This window comes from Homo sapiens, chromosome 4 (genome assembly GCF_000001405.40).
Source record: "Homo sapiens chromosome 4, GRCh38.p14 Primary Assembly".
Lineage (NCBI taxonomy): Eukaryota > Metazoa > Chordata > Mammalia > Primates > Hominidae > Homo > Homo sapiens.
Genome location: NC_000004.12, coordinates 96,669,441 through 96,690,446, shown reverse-complemented (window position 1 = coordinate 96,690,446; position 21,006 = coordinate 96,669,441). Strand labels below are relative to the sequence as shown.

Here is a 21,006-nt window from a genome sequence, read left to right as displayed (position 1 = left end):
ATTAAAACATTTTATTTGACCTAAAAATTTATTTGTTCTTCTTATTTAAAAGAAATTAAACTATTTATGGCCCCGGCATCCATTGTGGGCCCCAGGCATTGTACTTATTGGACAATGAATTACTCAGTCTTGCATTCAAGTAAATGTCCAAGTAAAATGTTGACAGTTATATGGAAGCTTCCCATGGCAACCATTTCCTTCTTTCTCTGACTAACAGATCCTAAATTTTGTTCAGGGTTCAGGAAAGAAAAGGCCCAAGGAGTAAGTGCCTCCCCTAACCAAAGGATAGACCATGATTGGCTCAATGCCATCATGGAAATTCTGTTCCCTTTTGTCAAGCAGGAATTTTAAGTGTGGGCCATCTTTTTTTTTTTTTTTTTTTTCTGAAGGAGTGTCTGTGTCACCAAGCTGGAGTGCAGTGGTGTGATCTTGGCTCAGGCTCACTGCAACCTCTGCCTCCCAGGTTCAAGTGATTCTCCTGCCTCAGCCTCCTGAGTAGCTGGGACTACAGGCATGTGCCACCATGCCCAGCTAATTTTTTTTTTGTATTTTTAGTAGAGATGGGGTTTCACCATGTTCACCAGGATGGTCTCGATCTCTTGACCTCGTGATCTGCCCGCCTTGGCCTCCCAAAGTGCTGGGATTACAGGCGTGAGCCACCACGCCTGGCCAAATGTGGGCCATCTTTTGATCATAAAGGATGTCATGGTTTAGCAGATCAATGGAAGGAGCCTGAATATTTGATAAAACTGTTGAGCCACTGAATTAACCGGGGATTCTTTTTTTAATTCATGAGCTATTCACTTTGCTACCAGATTTGCTTCTATAAAAACCATAGCTTTCAATGCAGGCAATCTCTCTTAGGCTGTCAAGCCAAGATTATCTATTTGATCCTGTGGCAAATTGATAATAAATGGGATAAAAATGAATTTTCTGCATCGGGCCACCTGTATTTGAGTTTTGTTTTGGAATGAGTCATTGTAAAAGGAAGACTTTCAGAGATTATTATCAGAAAGAGTCACGTCAGCCAACGGGGAGAGGGGAAGAACTGACTGACATATCAGTACCAAATCAAGAAGAGCTACAAAACATGGCACTTCTTGGGGTTGGCTGGGAAGCACAAACATGAATAAAGCAGAACAATCTTTTCTGGATAATGCATTCAGTTGAGCCAATCTGGTACAAATCCAATAGCGCTTTAGGGTTAGAAAACTTTAAAATATGGGGTGTTTTGATATATGTCCTGCAGATTGGTTTGGCCCAGTGAAAGTCTAACCTTCTGTGGATCATGCCATGTTTTCCTCTGGGATATGGACAAAATAGAGTGAGAGCAATATGAGGTTATTACGTTATCCTTTGCCCCTCACATGCACATCTACAGCTTTTAGCTATGTTTAGCCCTTTCTAGAATGGCAATAAATATAGATCCTTTGCCAAACCACTCAATGTTTCTAAGTAGCACTATCAGAGGCAAGGCAATCTAGGCAAATTTCTGTAGTAAAATCTATTAAAAAATATATGTATAAGAGGGAGATATGGGTACATAGCTTTAAAATTTCAGAGCAGTGTTGTTCTAATGAAAGTTTGTCAAAAAGATTAAAGCTTGAAACTAAGGACAAAAAAAAGATATGGGGATTGGTCATTTTGGAACTGGGATAAGGTAACAAGGAATTATAGAACTATTGTTGGTGACAGATGATGACAAGAGGTTATAATTCATTCAACCAAAATGTACTTACAAATGTTCTACTATCTCCAGGCATTGGTCAAAGTGCTGGGTGATAGGTTTATAGTGAGGGATAAACCTGATGGCATAAAGAATTCATAACTACCAAATGTAATTCTTTACATCATTTCTAACAAAGATACTGGTATTTAGTCAGGAAATGATGTAATAAATACAGCTCTGGACATACAAGAAGTTGTTTAAGAAGTAGTTATTTGAGTGAAAGTTTTGGGGTTCAAGCAAACAGACCAGAACCTGCTCTCAACTGGGGAGGGGGAGAGATACCAAAACAATACCATCCTGACTTTACTGAGAGGGAAAAAATATATAGTCAGAAAAATACAGATTAGTAACCTCAATTTTACTAATTGAACAAATATTGTGAGAAGGATCATCCCAAGAACAGGGAAGCAGAGTTTGCCACCTAGGGGGGACATTGTCATGTTATGTATTAGTAAAGTAAACAATATGATGATAAATGTATAATGTGTAGAAGGCTATATATATATATATATATCTTCTAGGGAGTGGAAAGAAAGTGCATTAGGTAAGATGCCAGTAACAGAACATTGAACTAAACAAGGCATAAACATAGAAGACATTTATCTCATTTGCATTTTATGAAATTATCTTGAAAAATAAGATTTAATGGAGTTCAATAACATTCTGATTCATCAAATCCCCTTTGTTCATTTTTTCCCATCAGAATATCAATACCCAAGAAAACACTAACACAAATGAATATTGGCATTCACTTGTGTTATGAATACCAATATTCATTTCTGAATATTGTTTAATGCATGGAGTGAACACAAGCACAAGCACAAGCACAGTGGAATAAAACAGCAAGAGCAAAGACATAAATGCAGTGAATAAAATTTATAAGACCTGCTATAAACCTTCGTTAAGTATGTAATACTAGAAATAAAATATATTTTTATAAAAGGTCTTTAAAGAAGTAAAAGTGTCTCCAATATTTTTAAAAGATCAAAAAATACAATTGCAAGAAGAAAACAGAAAATTCTATAACTTTTATATATGTACATTAGAAATGCAAACATAAATGAGAAGATACTTCTATATGTATGGACTAATCCTTAAAATGTTAGAAGGATGTTAATAATTCAAAATAATATAACATCAACTAAAACAATAGGCCTCAATATAGCTACAAAATTATCTAAAGGGAGACTGAGTTTAAACTAACCCTCCATTTGGCTGATCAATCTGTAGTCAAAATGCTTCTAGGAGACATGGGTTTAGGTCATTGCTTTTTGAGAATCAGGTATCTTACCCAGGCAAATCAGTATTGGGCTTTCTGACTACATTAATTGTAAATGCCTATAGGATACTTGCATTTCATAACCTATGCCTCCCACTATGCCCCCAGATAAGGCATCTGATTGAGGAAAGCAAACCTAGCAGGGCAGACACAATGGCAGGGCCACTTTTGCCTCTGTTACCTTCAGGGATTAGCTTTCCTCTGCCTACAATTCTGTTCTTGGTAACTTGGTTTAAACCTTAAATTTCCCCAACTTAGGCAAATACAGTATTTATTCTCCTTTTATTTGTTCTAAGTATCCCAAAGATGTGAATTCATGAGCAGTCAGTTTGGTTTTCACATACTTTCCCATTTCTTCCCCTTTTAGATAATTTAGAATTACAATAATTTAATTATTTATTGCTTGTGTCTTAACTCTTTATCCATTTCCTCTTTGAGAAGCTCTGGCTATGGAGGCAATCTGATATCTTTCACATGATTCAATACAATGTAAGGTATCAGGTATTTTTCTAGAAGGGAGAGTTAAGAGTTCCAGTTTATGAACCAATTCTTTTGTGTTCAAACAGGATTAGAAGAATATTCTCCCTTTCATTTTCTTAACTTATAAAATAAATTAATAAGTCTAGATAGGAATTTTTCAGTGTTCTAATAATTTGTATAAGTCTTCACAAATCTCAGATAAAAAATTAAAGAAAATAAAGTGGTCTTTAGTGTTAAATTTTAAAATGAGTTCATGATAGGTAAAAGCATACTTGTTTAAAATATGGAGAGATATTACAAAGACAAATATGGACAATGCCCTGATTCAAAATCTGGCCTTCTTAGAACCTGGTTCTACTCCCTATCTCAATACTCAGGAGAGGTAAGTGTCAGACAGTTTTTATTTGATGTCATTAAATATTGAGTTCTCTAATTCCTTCTTTCTCACCAGACAACCAACCTACTAATGATAATGTGACTTCCTATATCATGGAAAAAATGCCTTGACTGAAAGACATAGCTATATGGTTATATTCGCCATAGTTCTCATCTAAACCAGACAATTTACTTTTTTTAATTTTATATTTTCTTTGTTTAACTTAAGTATTCCCAGAGGGTTGAATATAATCTTGGTGAGCTGACAATGAAGCCTGCCAGACCATAGGACAAAGTTTGAACCAAAAGAATTTTAAACTGCTAGATTTCTTGGGATGGATTCCTCAGGTCTAGTATGACAATCCTTCTCTATCATTGTGCATTGTTCATTAGGAGCTTTTTCTTTTTCTTTTTTTTCTTTTTCTTTTTTTTTGAGAGACACAGTCTCACTCTGTCACCAGGCTGGGGTGCAGTGGCTCAATCCCGGCTCCCTGCAACCTCCACCACCTGGGTTCAAGGGATTCTCCTGCCTCAGTCTCCTGAGTAGTTGGGACTACAGGTACACACCACCACACCCAGCTAATCTTTGTATTTTTAGTGGAGACGGGGTTTCACCATGTTGATCAGGATTGTCTCGATCTCTTGACCTCATGATCCACCTGCCTCGGCCTCTCAGCGTTCTGGGATTACAGGCGTGAGCCACCGCACCCGGCTTAGCTTTTTCTATTTGCAGTTTGTATGAGTGGTTGCTACTTATTTCACATTAAATATCTGGGTCCAATTACATCTTGCCATTGCACTAATTTATAGGAATGCATCCCCTGTTACTGCATTAATGGCTATAGTCTATTCCTTCTGTTTTTCTCACTGTCATTCTTACTTAAATACTTCTTGACATGTTTCTGGCTTTTCATAACTCTATGGACCTCCCAGGTAACATAATGCCACCTGCTACTCTTTCTAACAATCAAACTTCGTCACAACTGTGTGCATTACAACTAAGAAGATCAATTTATTTTTTAGCAGTTTCACTTTGTAAGTTTCTCAAACTCTATTATCCCTCAGTCTACTTTTTCTTAGAATATGATCTCATGTCTTACTTATAATACATCCCACTTGAACTATTTTAGTTTCTCAACAAATTTATTGAGGAAACATTATTTTCCCTTGGTTATCTTTCTACATATAGAGGGCCATTTCATTCTCCAAGCAGAAGCAGTAATAAGCTATTATTTTCAAGAATTCTGCATATTTTTCTCATTTATTTTACCATAAGAGAGAAACATTTGTATTCATTGACTATCCTATTGGTTGAGTTAACTCATTAGAGAACAGTACTCACACATTGGCCTACTACTTGTTTGTTTGTTTGTTTTTCTCTCTGTCTCTCAACAGTTGCCCCATCTGCAGTGTAAAGGTTAGGTAGAGTTCACGGGCTAGAACTGCAGACCACACATTTGAAACCTTAATTCAGGCTGTTTATTCAATCCAGGTTAAACAGAAATAAAATAATATATTGTTTAAATTTTTATACCTATGTCTATTTTTTAATTGGTTCAAAACATAAAAGAGAGAAATATAATTAATTAGTACCTCTCAAGACCTCAAAAAATCATTTAATTGTAATATATGGGTATTATAATCTTGTTATTAAAATGTACACTTATAAACAGTGTAATGAGAAATAGGTACATGATGAAGAGTTAACTTATTTAATGGCAAACAACTTACTGAGTGGTCAATTTTCAAGTTCATTGATGAAACAGTTTGTATTTACAGAAAAATAACTAGATGATATATGTCCCATCAACTCTCTGTGTTATTTCTTTCTTTCTTTCTTTCTTTCTTTTTTTTTTTTTTTTGAGACAGTTTCCCTCTTGTTGCCCAGGCTGGAGTGCAATGCAATGGCGTGCTCCCAGTTCACTGCAACCTCCGCCTCCCAGGTTCGAGAGATTCTCCTGCCTTAGCCTCCTGAGCAGCTGGGACTACAGGTATATGCCACCATGCCCGGCTAATTTTTGTAGTTTTAGTACAGACAGTTTTGCCATGTTGGCCAGTCTGGTCTCGATATCCTGACCTCAGTTGATCTGCCTGCCTTAGCCTCCCAAAGTGCTGGGATTACAGGAGTGAGCCACCACGCCCAACCCTAAGTTTATATTCAAATTTAGGAGTGGAGACAATTTGTTAAATTTCAAATTGTCAGAAAAATAGGTGGAATCACCAGTGGAATATTGGGGATCTAGAAAATAAAAGACACCTCCAGAGAAGAAATAAAATTCACAAGAAGAACTTAAACAAATTTACAAGCAAAAAATAAACCACCCCCATTAAAAAGTGGGCAAAGGACATGTACAGATGCTTTTCAAAAGAAGATATACAAATGGCCAACAAACAGATGAAAAAATGTTCAACATCACTAATCATTAGAGATATGAATTGAAACAACAATGAGATACCATCTCACACCAGTCAGAATAGCTATCATTTAAAAGTCAAAAAATAACAGATGCTGGTGAGGTTGCGGAGAAAAGGGAATGCTTATACACTGCTGGTGGGAGTGTAAATTAGTTTAGACCTTGTGGAGAGCAGTGTGACAATACCTCAAAGAACTTAAAACAAAATTACCGTTTGACTCAGCAATCTCATTATTGGGTATATACCCAGAGGAATATAAATCATTCTACCATAAAGATACATGCACGCATGTGTTCATCACAGCACTATTCACAAGAGCAAATGCATGGAATCAGCCTAAATACATACGAACGTAGACTGGATAAAGAAAGTGTGGTACATATACACCACGGAATACTATGCAACCATAAAAATAATGAGATCATGTCCTTTGCAGCAACATGGAGAGAGCTGGAGACCGTTATCCTTCACAAACTAACACAGGAACAGAAAACCAAATACTACATGTTCTCACTTATAAGTGAGAGCTGAACGTTGAGTACACAAAGAAGGGAACAACAGACATGAGGGCCTACTTGAGGGTGGAAGGTGGGAGGAGGGTGAGGATGGAAAAACTACATATTAGGTAATGGGGTACTATGCTTATTAGTTGAGTGATGAAATAATCTGTACACCAAACCTCAGTAACATGTAGTTTACCTGTATAACATGTGCAAAATTACCCCAAATCTAAAATAAAAGTTAAAAAGAAAGTTGACATAGAGAGGATTGAAGGTTTATGAAAGCCACATATTGTCTGCCAATAATCAAGACTGTACATGTCTCAGTGGCAGGTCTGAATCTATATACCGTAGTTAATTTGGTTAACTTTCAGGGTTAGTAACTGCAGAGGTATAGGGTCCAAAAACCTACTATAAAAGAACACTATTAATATTTCAGTGCCTTTAGAGATCTTGTCTGTATTCTAGGTGCAGGACCAGGTCCTTGGTTTGTCCTCAGCATTCAAGAGATCTTACTGGCTATCAGATTCTCTCTTCCAGACATGCCTGCCTGTGGTCATGAATTCCAACTGAGAATTGCCACTGGTTTGTCTCCATTCTCCTCCCTATCACAAGCTGATTCCTTAAGTCACTTCTCATATAAAGTGACGTTTTCTATAGGCAACACTCCCCTACATACTTCTAATGCACTTGAGAAGGGAGACATAAGAATAAAAACTAACACTAAATATTTACTATGTTAGTAATTTAAATATCCTTATAAAACCAATCTTATTTTTACTTACACATATAAGTCAATAAATAAGATATGGGAAAATGAGAGAGCATCAAAATCCATAAATGTGAAGATAATTCCTATTAAATATTCTAGAAAAAAATCTAAGCAGCATTTTGCCATTTCTTAATTTTTCATGTTACCAGAAAAATTTTGTGATGTCACTCATTAATGATGACCGTGCAGTCACTTCAAACAAAAGCCTGTGATCATTGGAAAGAATACATACAAACAGCTGTTGAAATAGATGGTTCTCCACAGTTCATATCTCTCAGCAAACGGAAAGTTTTGATCAAGCAAAACAGACTCTCAGAATCTCTTAGTAAAGCATCACAGTTTCAGTTTTATAAATGAGTTCTTTTAGTATCATTGAAAAAAAATTTCTGCATAATAGACTTTAATATAGCCAATTGATCTATATTTGAGGCACTGTAAGGATGCATAAGTGACTTCCATCAAATTGAGATGCCTCTTACTAAAGGCTTCATTTATTAGCCACCTTTTTGGCTTTAGAGGCAAATACAAATGTATTTGTCATTTGAGTTCTAAAATAATTATGGTAAGGGTTAGCAAAATTATACATCAGTATGCTATTCTTTATATGCTTTAAAAATGTATTAAACTATAAAATGTCCAGTGTACCTTTGATAAAATTTGACATAAATATTTATTTCCATTTAGAAATGTCTACTAACAATAGTCCTGGAAAAGTTACTGCTGTAACATGTGTCTAAGATATAGTTTTGCTAAAATTGCATTATAGTTTCTCGGGGGTTTTAATGCTTGCTTTTAGATGCAATTTAGGTTAAAACATCTAGATACTATTCTTTGGTCTGACCTAATCAATTTCTAAAATATTCTATGCAGAGCCCTTTCAAAAAATGTTGAGTCAGATTCCTAAATGGTCACAAAGAGATTTGATTAATAGGTTTAAGTTCACTTTTGTGTAGAGCTTTAAAAAATAACAAAGCTTAATCACCTTAATTAACATATATCTTTCTTATACTTTTATAACAAATAAAGCATACTTGCTTTTTACTGCCTAAAATATAAAAATACATCTCCATCATCGACTAATGGTTTTGTTGATTTCTCTTAAATTCTACCCTAATCAAACACTTAAAATTGCATCTGGAATTTAAATTAATCTCTAATCCTTTAATATTTCCCCAAACTAAGAAGCATGAAGAAGGTCCTATAATAGTTCAATGGATGTCTGTCTTTCTATTTATAACTTTTAAATGTGCCAACCCGCGCTGAAAAAGATGTGCAGAAAAATTAAAATGTGTTTATTATAAACTCAGATTCTGATCTGAAACATGTGTCACTTCTCTATTTCTTGTTAGTTCATTTTCTAGGATTTCTTTTGAGATCCATTATAGAATTCTAAGTGTTGTGTCTACTGGGATTTACACCACTTGTTCAGTCTATTTATACCAAGTTAATTAAGTGATAATCCCAGAGTATCAGAGGACATATGTAGCAATAAATGCCTGCTTCACTCTCAGGCATACTGAGATCACATGGTGAGGAGTCACAGAATGGAAGACTGTTTTATTACCTAATGTCATATTCTGCTGTATAGGGAATATTGCTGTTAAACAATCTGTTCTTTTATTTTCTGGGATTTTATGCCTTCCATTGCATAAATATTATTTTGACAACTGATGTGATGCTTCTGAAACGGATTCAATCCAAAGGTATGCAGAAAAAAAATTTACATTTTGAGTAAGAGATTGGCCTCAACTTAGCAAACTAGATCAAATTTATTCTCAAAATAAATACAATAAATAAAAATACAGTCTCATTTTCTGGTTGTCAAATGAGTTCCATGAATAGATATAGAAAAACCTACTAGATGCCTTAACAATGAACTCCACATTGATGTTTTATGTGCTTGCAAACATACACACACATACGTACACACACACATACATACATACGCACAGAGAAACCCAAATTATCCATTTGCCCAAATGCCTGTGTAAATGCTTATTTATTTATCTATTTTGTCGACTAAGCAAGAAGAAAGAAAAATTCAGTGTTGTTTTATTAACACTATAGTCAGTTATGAAAGCTAAGAAATACTTGAATGTATTTATGTCTCAGAAATTCCATGAGTGATTTGTTAAAGCTATAAATTAGATGTAAAACTATTTCTAACAATTTAAAAAATTAAAAAAGGATTCGTCAACCTAGAAGGTTCATCATTACATTGAGAGTTGTCTAGTCTCCTGATGAAATAAAGAATTAGAACGAAGTCCATTCAAAGGTAACCGTAGAGTAATCCTCCTTTAAAGATGAAGGAGTTTCTTTACACCAATTTAAAATGTTGATTTAAAAAATCAAAGGAGCTTAAATGACACTAACAAGTTTATAAATGTGTGAAATTGGGAAATTTGGGAATTATTCAAGTCCTGGTTCTGCTGCTCCTAATTTGTTTTGAAATACAAAACCTTTAACCATATTAGCCATTAGTTTCTCCCTCTGTTATGTGTGTGAGGTGAGGTTAAAGTAGGTTAGCTCTTACATCTCTTCTTTTTAAAAATTATTTGACATTTAGAGTTCTTAAAAAAATCAATATCATGGTTATGATTGAGTGAAGTACAGATTTTAAACAGTTTCTTGTTTAATGAACTAAGCACTAATTTAAAAGAAGAAATAGCTCTTAAAATGAGACTGTGTATGTGTAAAATAACTAAAAACCACTTAGTCTGGGATTCCCCCATTGTAACCATGAATATTGGATTTTTGGTCTTAGGTGATTAAATATTTGTATCCATTTGATTCATATATAAGATGGCCAGAAGTCTCTGGAACAATATTAGATAAGAAGAATTGTAGAAATGGTTTGTAAGTATCATGTGTTAATATTGTGTTCTGTCATTACTGTTAGTCTTAGATTGTAAACTTTAGTAAAACAAAGACATTTTCTACCATAGTTGATGCAATACTATACTATCACCAAATAATTTCCTATCTTGATTATAAATAATGATTAAATATATTTTCTTGCATTAGACAGTATCGGACAAGCTTCTATATTGCAGATTTTTTTATCTTTTTAATTAATTAATTAATTAATTAATTTAATTTCAACTTTCATTTTAGATACAGGGGGTATACATGTAGGGTTGTTAACATGGGTATATTGGATCCAAGTAGTAAGCATAGTACCCACTAGGTAGTTTTTCAACTCTCTCCCACCTCTCCTCCTCTCCTTTTTAGTAGCCCACGGTGTCTTATTGTTCCCATTATTATGTCCATGAGTACTCAAGGTTTAGCTCTCACTTGTAAGGAAGAACACGTGCTATTTGGTCTTCTATTCCTACATTAATTCACTTAGGATTATGGTCTCCTCCAGCTCCATCTATGTTGCTGCAAAGAACATGATTTTGTTCTTTCTCATGGCTACATGGTATCCCAATGTGTTTATATACCACATTTTCTTTATCCAATACATTATTGATGAGCACCTAGGTTGATTCCATGTTTTTGCTATTGTGAATATTGCTGAAATGAACATACAAGTGCATGTGTCTTTTTGGTAGAATGATCTATTTTTTTTGAGTATATAGTCAGTAATGGGATTGCTGGGTCATATGGTAGCTCTGTTTTAAGTTCTTTAAGAAATCTCCAAATTGCTTTCACAAGTGGCTGAACTAATTTACATTCCAACCAACAGTGTATAAGCATTCCCTTTTCTCCACAGCTTCACCAACAAACTGTTATTTTTTTTACTTTTTAATAATAGCTATTCTGACTGGTGTGAGATGTTTTCTCACTGTAGTTCTGATTTGCATCTCTCTTATGATTAGTGATGTTGAGTGATTTTTCATCTGTAACAAACAGATGAAACAGGCTACTTGGGTGTCTTCTCTTGAGAAGTGTCTGTTCATGTCCTTTGCCCATTTTTTTAATGGAGTGAGTTGGTTTTCTTTTGTTGATTTGTTTAAATTTCTTACAGATTCTTGACATTAGACCTTTGTAATATTATTAGATGGACAGTTTGCAAGTATATTCTCCCATTCTTTAGGTTGTCTTTTTACTCAATTGATGGTTTTTAATGTGCAGAAGCTCTTTGGTTTAATTAGGTCCCACTCATCAGTTTTTGTTTTTGTTGCCATTGCTTTTGGGACTTAGTCATAAATTCTTTGCTGATGCTAATGTTGAGAAGACTTATTTCCTAGATTTTCTTCTATGCATCTTATAGTTTGAGGTCTTACATTAAAATCTTTAATCCTAACATCACATCAATAAATATATTTTATTTCTGTTATGATGCCATGAAATGTGAGGCACAAAATAATGTTTGCAGGTCTTTATTGAGTATAGATGTAGAGTAATGTCATTTCTAATGTGTCTTTGTGAATCTTCTCACCAGAATGTAAATTCCATGAAAGCAGAGTTATTATTATTATTATTTTTTTTTTTTTGAGATGTAGTCTCGCACTGTCACCTGAGCTGGAGTACATTGGCGCAATCTCGGCTCACTGCAACCTCCACCTCCTGGGTTCAAGAGATTCTCCTGCCTCAGCCTCCCAAGTAGCTGGCATTACAGGTGCCCACCACCACACCCAGCTAATTTTTTGTGTTTTTAGTAGAGACAGGGTTTCACTAAGTTGGCCAGGCTGCTCTCAAACTCCTGACCTCATAATCCACCCGCCTCAGCCTCCCAAAGTGCTAGGATTACAAGCGTGAGCCACCATGCCTGGCTGAAAGCAGAGTTTTTTTAAAAAAAATTTCTGTCCTATTTTTGCTGTATTCCATGTATTCCATGTATGTACAGCATGTCTGCTGCATAGTAAAGACCTAATTAATATGTAATGAATAAATGAATCTCCTTAGAATATTGCTTTCAGTTTTTCCATGCTTAGACATTTAAAAAAATGCAGTTAGAGGAAATAAAATGACTGAAATAAATTTGCTCAGAAAGAAAAATTGTAAAATGAAATTGATTTATTGATTCAAAAATCGTTTCATATCCTGGGATGTTATGTAAAATATATTATGTATCAAAAGAAAATGAAAACAATGTTCAATGTTTGTTGGCCTTTTAATTAAGAAAACAGAACTTATTTGACTCACTAGTTACAGCAATTACAGAATGGAATCCACTACAATGCTTTCATATATTATAATTAGTTTGACTTGACTTTCACCTCCTCTCTCAAAACCAAGCTAGATATGTGCTTATACTTTAGCAAGAGGAAATAGGATCCCAGTGGTGGAATGACTCATCAATATTGTATAACACCGAGTTAGTAAAGAAAAATAGTTAGAATTAAGGTAGTTTGAATTCTGTTTGGCATTATTTACATATTAAAGAAATAACAAGACCATAGAGTTGCAAACAATCATTTTGATACAATAATGTCATCTCTCCTGCCTCTCTCTCCCCAGCAGAAACTAACAGCTTTAGCACTGGGTTGTTTGACATTTTCTGAGTGATGACATAACAGAAATGTTGAGCAAAACAATGAATGAATTTTTGTTTTCAGAATTTCAAAATAGGTTTTTGAGACTTGTGGCCAAAACTGTATGATGAGAAGAAATGGTTTGTATTCTAAGAATTCTGTCTAGAAAAGACCCACTGACAAAAAAATAAAAATAAAAATAAAAGAAGAAGTAAAACAGGATAATTAGGTGCTGGTGTCTATATTTGATGATGTCATATTTAATTGTAAGATCTTAATTTGTAAATAAAAATAGCTGATTGCCAAAGAACTTTTAGAGTATGACCATATTTGCATTTTCAAATATAAATGAATAGGGCTACCAATATCCACTCAGGGAAGTAGAGAGATGAAAGGAGCACATCTCCCATTCTTACACTAAAAAAAGGGTCACATGTTGAAATACGTATTATTACTCCAAGCTTACACGTAGGGCAATGAAAGCTTAGAGAGCTTGAGGCATGTTCATGGTAGTCCAAGTGTCACGTGACAAGTCATTTACTAAAGTGTCTCTCTTAACACTCAACTTCTGACTCAGAAAGGATAATAATAATGAATTAGCAATGGTAAATATATAAATTTTATAGTTCCTATAACTCTCAAAGTCAAAAATGTCAAATCTTATCTTGTACCACTGTCACCCATATGTTTTAAAGCCATCAGAAAATTCATACACAAGTTTTCATTACTTTTCTAAGACTAAAGCCCACTATAATTAAACATTATTATTTCCAGCAAAAAGATAAGTATGTTAAATAAAAATGTGTTGGCGACTTAAATTCAGAATCAACATGTATTCCCACATGTTCATTTAGCTAAACATTTTCTGTTTTTGTAAGCTTAGACATTTTTACTCCTGCACTTTCCCTGTTCCGTATCACACCAAGAAAACAACAGTGTCTATGTGGGAACCTCACAAAACAAAAGTATCAACAGCTCCTTGAAACTTACTTTCTGCTCATTACAACATTTCAGTGTTGATTCTTTTAACTGCTCTTCCTTTTGTCTATGGGTGACACTTTCTATTTCTACATACACAGTATGTTATTTTTCTTTAATTTTATGCTGGCCATCATGGATTATATTATTTAGTGTTTGAAGTATTTTGTCACCCGTTAAAAGGCAATGCATTTTGTTTTGTCATGTATTTCAATTACTGGCCTATACTTTGGTCCTATCAGATTTGATTTTGTCATTGCTAAGAACATTCTATTCCTGTTTTGTACTTAGCATTTACAACACGCCACTTACTGCATAGTGTGGTCCTGACTTGTAAGCAATGGCATTTTCTGGAGTCTCAGCTACATGCTCAATGTGCTCAGAGGGTGCAGGGCAGATCATTCCATTCTGGCTGGGCTGACACTCTGTTTATCTGAAGTTAATCACTGAGCCCCCACCCAAGGACCTATGATGATTCATTACAAAGACTTCCAGAGCCCCTTCTCTGGAAGAGAGCCCTCATCTTAGATAGCCAGAGCTGTATATTTCAGCTGCTGCACAAGCCAAAAAATCTAATACCTTCCTCCTCAGCTCAGCAAAATCACTGTTATTTTGCCTCAATATTTTGCAGCAGAGGAAAGTCTCTAGGCAGAAACCAGGGACCACCATGCTACAGTCATCTGGTTCACCTTGTGTATTTTCCTTCTCCCCATGATCACAGATCTCTGCTTATTGTTTCATTCCTGAAATGTTGTCTCTCATGTATTTTATAATTTTCTGCAGTAGTTATCATGAAGGGATCACATGTCTTGTACCATTTTTCTCTGTCATGACTGGAAACAGAGGTCCCAACAGAGTAAAACATAACAAACAAAAATTAGTCATATTTCCTCCTTGATTATTTCATTGTATACCCATTGTGCTTAGATTAAATCTATATTCTTTACCAAGGCCTACTTCCTTCACTCAAGACACACTGATTTTTTTTTTCTAGACCCTGCATACACACAGCTGGTCGTGAAATTGTAGGAGCAAAATGATCATACCTTTTTGCCATGTATCACAAGGGTCATGGTTAACACTTCTATAACATAAGACAGATTATAAGAGAAAAAATATTTTTAACAGTTTTACCTGACATGGTAGTCTTTAGAAATGAAGATTAAAAGACCCAAGGAAAACTGTATTTTATGCTTAGTTCAATGAAGAATGGGCATCATATAGAAATATAATTGCACAAAAAAGGGTATTATCTTGGTTGGGTGTGATGGTTCACATCAGTAATCCCAGTGCTTTGGGAGGCCCAGGAGGAAGGACTGCTTGAGGCCAGGAGTTTGAGGACAACTGGGCAACATAGGAAGACCCTGTCTCTACCAAAAAAAAAAAAAAATGGGGAAGAGGTATAATCTAATGGTAATAAATTGAGGAGGATAACTCAACAAGACCTATCTGTTCAGATTATTCTTGGCTTCTCCTGAAGCATTCCTTCCTCTGGATATAGGAGAGGACACCTGTCTCTGGAGGATCTTCAGAGGAGAAGGGACAAAGTCAGGGAGTGACATTTCTAGATTTTACAACTTAGTTTGAAGGAGAGAATTTCTAGTTTCTATGAATTGTCATGGGGAAGAGGAATTCTAGTTTCTATGACTCACTATTGAAGAGGAAGAGGGGCTGGAGACAGGAGGGTGAGAGAAGGTCAGAGAAAACCATTGCTTCTGAGGTCTTTCTAGTATCCTTCAATTCAAAATACTCAGAATGCCAAAGCACCCTGCTCTGAGGTATTGTGTTATGAGCCCCAACAACACCATCTCAACATCTTGACAAAGGATGTGCCCTCTGCCTGAAATGATTTTTTTCTGTTTCTTTCTACTAATTCTTTCTTTAATTTTCAGTAAAAATTCTACTTCCTTTTAGAATACTTCCCTGACCACCTATGCAACATATACCTCTTTTTTCATAATCATATTTCTTTTTCTTTTTAGCCCTTACTGCTATGTTAATCAAATATTTATGTGGGTGTTTATCAGTACAGCATGTATAGCTGGAGACCCAGAAGAGCCCATGGTGTAAGTTCCAGTCCTAGTCTAAATCTGAGCCTGAAGGCAGGAGAAGCCTGTTGTCCCAGCTTGAAGACAGTAAGGTAGAGAGAGAAACAATTCTCCCATACTCAGCCTTTTTGTTCTACTCAGTGGATTGGATGAGGCCCAAACACACTGGGGAGGGCAATCTACTTCTCCAGTCTACAGATCCAGACATAATGTCATACAGAAACACCCTCACAGAAACTCCTAGAATAATCTTTAACAAAATATCTAGGTATCTCAGGGCCCAGTTAAGTTGACACATCAAATTAACCATCATACTCAGAAAGTGTCTGCCAGAGGAATAAAAGAAGTTGAGATGTAAAGGATGCAGGGTTAGTAGTACAGAAAGTGATGAAGAGCATTCTGGACAAATGAGACTCTCCATGCAAAGTTGTGAACATATGAAAGAGTTTGATGTACTAAGAAAATGAAAGAAGTTAAGGGACCTGAAGCCAAGTGAGTCAGATGGAGAGTGTTGTGATAAATTCTGAGTGATTGCAAAGGGGCCAGATGATGTAGGACCCCATTGATTTTTGCTATTCAAAATATATTTCTCAAGTCCTCAATATGGGCATTCCTTAAGATGAACTCAGAACGTACAGCCTCAAGACTCACCCTAAATAAATATTATCAGAATCTGCATTTTAATAAGATCCCAGCATAAAACATATCTCAGATATATAAACTTGATAGGACCTGGAGATGGACTATATATTGGTAATGATTGGTCAAGGACAACTCCCAAATTACATACTTTGATCAAATGGTTAATAAATAAGCCTTTAAGAAAAACAGCACTGTAGGAAGGTCAAACGTGGCAGATGGGGTAAGTATGTGTATATATGTACACATGAGTGTTTGTGTTTTGTGGAAGATGAAGGTTTCCAGTTTTGCCTTGCCATGTCTGAATTGACTAAGATACATCAAGTAAATAGTAATGAGAATCTAAAATATAACTTTAGAAATAATAATTTAAGAAAAAATTAAGAGATTGAACTATTGAAAATAAAATACTAATTCAACATAGAAAAAAAGGGGAAAAGAGTGATCAAAGATGACTCCAAAATTTTCATCCTGTATAATTAGAACAAGGAGGTGCTAACAGATAGGGAATGCAGAAAGATGTTTAAGTACCTACTCAATATGCTGGAAATAATGAGTTTGAAAAGATAACAGGATACTCATGTAAAGAGATGATTTATTTATATATATATAATGATTTATTTATATATACACACATATATATATATAAATGTATATATGTATGTGTATCTATAAACACATATATGTGTAAAAGTGGACCGCAGGATGTTAAATCAGAATTTAAATCTTTAGAAGCTATATGCATGACAAAAATAGTTGGACTGTGAGCATAGAGCTCCATCTTTTACTGGCTCTGTTGAATTCTGTTTCCATTCAGTGGGATGAATTCATTAAAGTCAATACCTCACCTAAAAAAGCTGACTGGTCATTCCTCAACTGGTACCCAGCCCTGGAAGCTATATTGAGAAAACATACAAACAATAGCCATGAAAAGGAGTGAGATAAGATATTAGTTTGAGTGCTTAGGAGATTCTTTTTATTTCCCCTAATAGAAAAATCTCTACAGTTTTGAAGGAAAAAGAAATTACTTGATACAATGAGATAGACTGAAATTGTATGAGAAAGAGGAATAAAAACTAATATGGCATGACCCTCGTCCTGGTGCAAAAATTGCCTGGAGATTAAGATAAGAGAGATTAGCACTGGAGAAAAGAAAGGATGATTTTCATACAGACAGCCCCAGTACAGCCAGTTAAAATAATAAAATACATTCTCATAGGTTGGCAATTTGCCTTTGCTTTGAGTTCTCAGAGGATGGTTACTGCCACACATACTCATATCCCAGCTGCTTCTGCCCATGCCCCAACTTCTAGGATCAAACAATTAAAGCTTGAATCAGTAGCAGATTGTGTTTGTAACCACTGCTATTTGTGTCCTTTCTGATTGGTAGGTGCTCATGGAAGATGGGCTGGCTGGCCCTCGGTCTGCAGGTACCTAGCACAGTGAGACCAGGGAGAGGTGAACAGCTGACATGGCACCTCATATGAATAATGGCATGCAATGCAACTGGAAGGTACTTATTACACCTAGAGAACATCCAAATCTTTTGGTTATTAACAATATTAAACATATTAATAAAATGTGATCCCTCATTAGGCCATGCCCTTGAGAAAGGAAAATAAATCTTGGGGCTCCAAAGTCACTAAGCTAAAGGGAAAAGTCAAGCTGCGAGCTGCTTGGGCAAACCTGCCTCCCATTCTATTCAAAGTCATCCCTCTGATCACTGAGATAAATGCATATCTGACTGCCTCATTTGGAGAAGCTAAACAGAAACTCAAAAGAATGCAACCATTTGTCTCTTATCTACCTATGACCTGGAAAGCCCCTCCCCACTTCCAGTTGTCCTACCTTAGCTTTGAGTTGTCCCGCCTTTCTGGATAGAAGCAATGTTCATCTTACATGTATTCATTGATTTTTCATGTCTTCCTAAAATGTATAAAACCAAGCTGTGCTCACACCACCTCGGGCACATGGCATCAGGACCTTCCGAGGCTGTGTCACGGGTGCATGTCCTTAACTTTGGCAAAATAAACTTCCTAAATTGACTGAGACCTGTCTCAGATATTCGGGGTTCACATCCTAAACATATATTAGCTCATTTGAGTACTATAATTACTCGATTATATTGAGTACTATAATTTTACAAATGAGAAAATGAAGAATATTGAGATTTAAAAACTGCAGTGACAGAGCTTCTATTTGAACCTTCGCAACGAGTAACAGAGCCCCTACTTGTGATTATACTAATGCCACTAATCTGTTCTGAAGGAAAAGGTTCAACTCATTTATAGGTTCCCTGCCAATAAATGAGTTATGTGCATTGTTAATAATAGAAATAATTAACACATTAAAATATTGGGCATAACTATAAGGAATAGAGAAAGAGTGACTTTAATGGTTGCTAATTCAACAGTGGCTAAGACAGGGTTTAGTACCATGAAGAAACATCCTTGATCATGGGCATGATGAAGATGAGTTTGACAAAACTGCAGGTAATCCTTAATATGCGAAAATAAAATAATGAAGGACTCATTTTAAATGGACACAAGTTTTGTTTATATAAAGTTATGAAGTCATCTGAAGAAAGAAGAAACAGTTCAGAGAGGAACTAGAAAGTTTTGGAGGTGGTGTGCAAGTGAGTGATGGGGAACATTTCAAATGCTTTATCATGTACTAGCTACTTTCAATTGTGAAGGAAGTATAATAAAGAAAATGGCATTCTTTCCTCTTTGTATGTATCCTAGAAAGGGAATGTGTTAAAGTGCGTATTTTATGCATTGTGTAAGATTGGAAAAAAAAGTATAGAAATAAACTATAATGACACCTAATAAAAGTAGGCATTTAACCCATATTTATGCCTCCAAGAGCTTTGTTAAACCCAACATACTGACGTTGCTTATGACTTTGATACTTGCATGGAGTATTCAGGTTTTTTTTTCAACAAATAGCACCTTACATTATTAAACCACTTAGCCATTTTCACAGCCCAAATGTACCTCTAAAATTATATTGTGAGGTGTCATATGTTCACTTAAAGGAAGAAAATGTCGTAGGCTGGATTAAGTAGGATATGAATGAGCAAGCAGAATAAACCAGTAAAATTTAATTAAGCAATTTAGCACTCCATAAAAGCAGCAACACATAAAAGTGAGACATAAATGACAGGGGCAGTTGCACTGCAATTCTAATCTTTTAGGAACTTAAAAAGGAGCACTGTGCAACAAGCAGACATTCTTTTTCTACACAAAGTAAATTTAAACACAAGTATTAATAGTAATTGAAGCGGCCTTTACATATGGAAATTCTGTGCATTGTATTCTTTACTTTGGCTTTGTGCAGGTGAAGCAAAAAGAATAGGCAGAAAAGTAACTTCATATGCAATAAAGACATGACTGTAAAACTTATACTCTTCCATTTGCTACAATTAGACAGGCAAACTGAGGAAGAAATTCATTTGTAAACAGTCCAATTTTCAAAATCATATGCCTGCCACATACTTCCATTAAATAATTCTAATGAGATGCTGAAAAAAACTAGGAGCCCAGAGGTGAGAAATATAAGGCACCTCTGCATTAAAAGGACTGAAAGGATGAACAGTATCCTTTGCTTCCATAGCAACCGTTTCAGGAATCTGACTTGTATTTTTATATCTCAGGGTTATTGTGATACCATATTTCTTTTAATTAAATCAAACTTCATTGTCAAGGTACCTGTAAGCTGGCCATTTCTAATCTTATTTCCAGTTAGCTTCCAAAACTTTCCCGAGAATTTCCTTCAACTGAAGCTATTTTAAATGTTAAAACATCTAAATTCAAAATTCAAAATTCAAAATTGAATCCTTTAATATTCAACCATGGACTTTATCTCAGGCTCTAAATGACATATTCCATAGGATCTACGAAATTACATTTTATTTGTATACATTCTTTAGCTACTTTTTTCCCTGATTCTTTTTATTTTATAACTTAAATATTATATAACTATATATCATATTGTATATGTTATAATTTATTTTAATTTATAATTTAATTTGTTTCTTTAATAACATATATTATTACAAATTACTCCAAATATTTATCATAGAAGACAAATAATAAGAAAGTGGGTAACAGTGAAAATATAGAATTTCAAAGTATATCAATTAACATCAAATTCATTTTACTTCCTTACCAACAGTGGAAGATTTTTTAGAGAAGACCATATATTTTTCTTCCACTATCTTATGGGCCTTAACATAATCATAAGCACACAGTATATATCATTTAGCTTATTCTATGAATCCTATCTTTCATGTCTTTTTAAAATTTGCACACCTTATTTTTCTTTAACTTATCTTTTTACCAATTCTATCTTTTAAATGTATTTTAATAT

The 21,006-nt window shown here is 34.9% G+C and overlaps 1 long non-coding RNA gene across 1 annotated transcript in view, besides 1 other annotated feature; it reads right to left on the bottom strand.

The window, feature by feature from the left end:
- Positions 1 to 21,006, bottom strand: part of LINC02267 (long intergenic non-protein coding RNA 2267) — a 507,713-nt gene that overhangs the window by 127,969 nt on the left and 358,738 nt on the right. The gene's annotated exons all lie outside the window — the stretch shown is intronic.
- Positions 12,702 to 12,902: a silencer, noted in NCBI's record as "peak5082 fragment used in MPRA reporter construct". NCBI's record gives its function as "represses an SCP1 promoter by STARR-seq MPRAs in K562 erythroleukemia cells {active_cell/tissue: K562}" and the evidence as "EXISTENCE:reporter gene assay evidence [ECO:0000049][PMID:32103011]".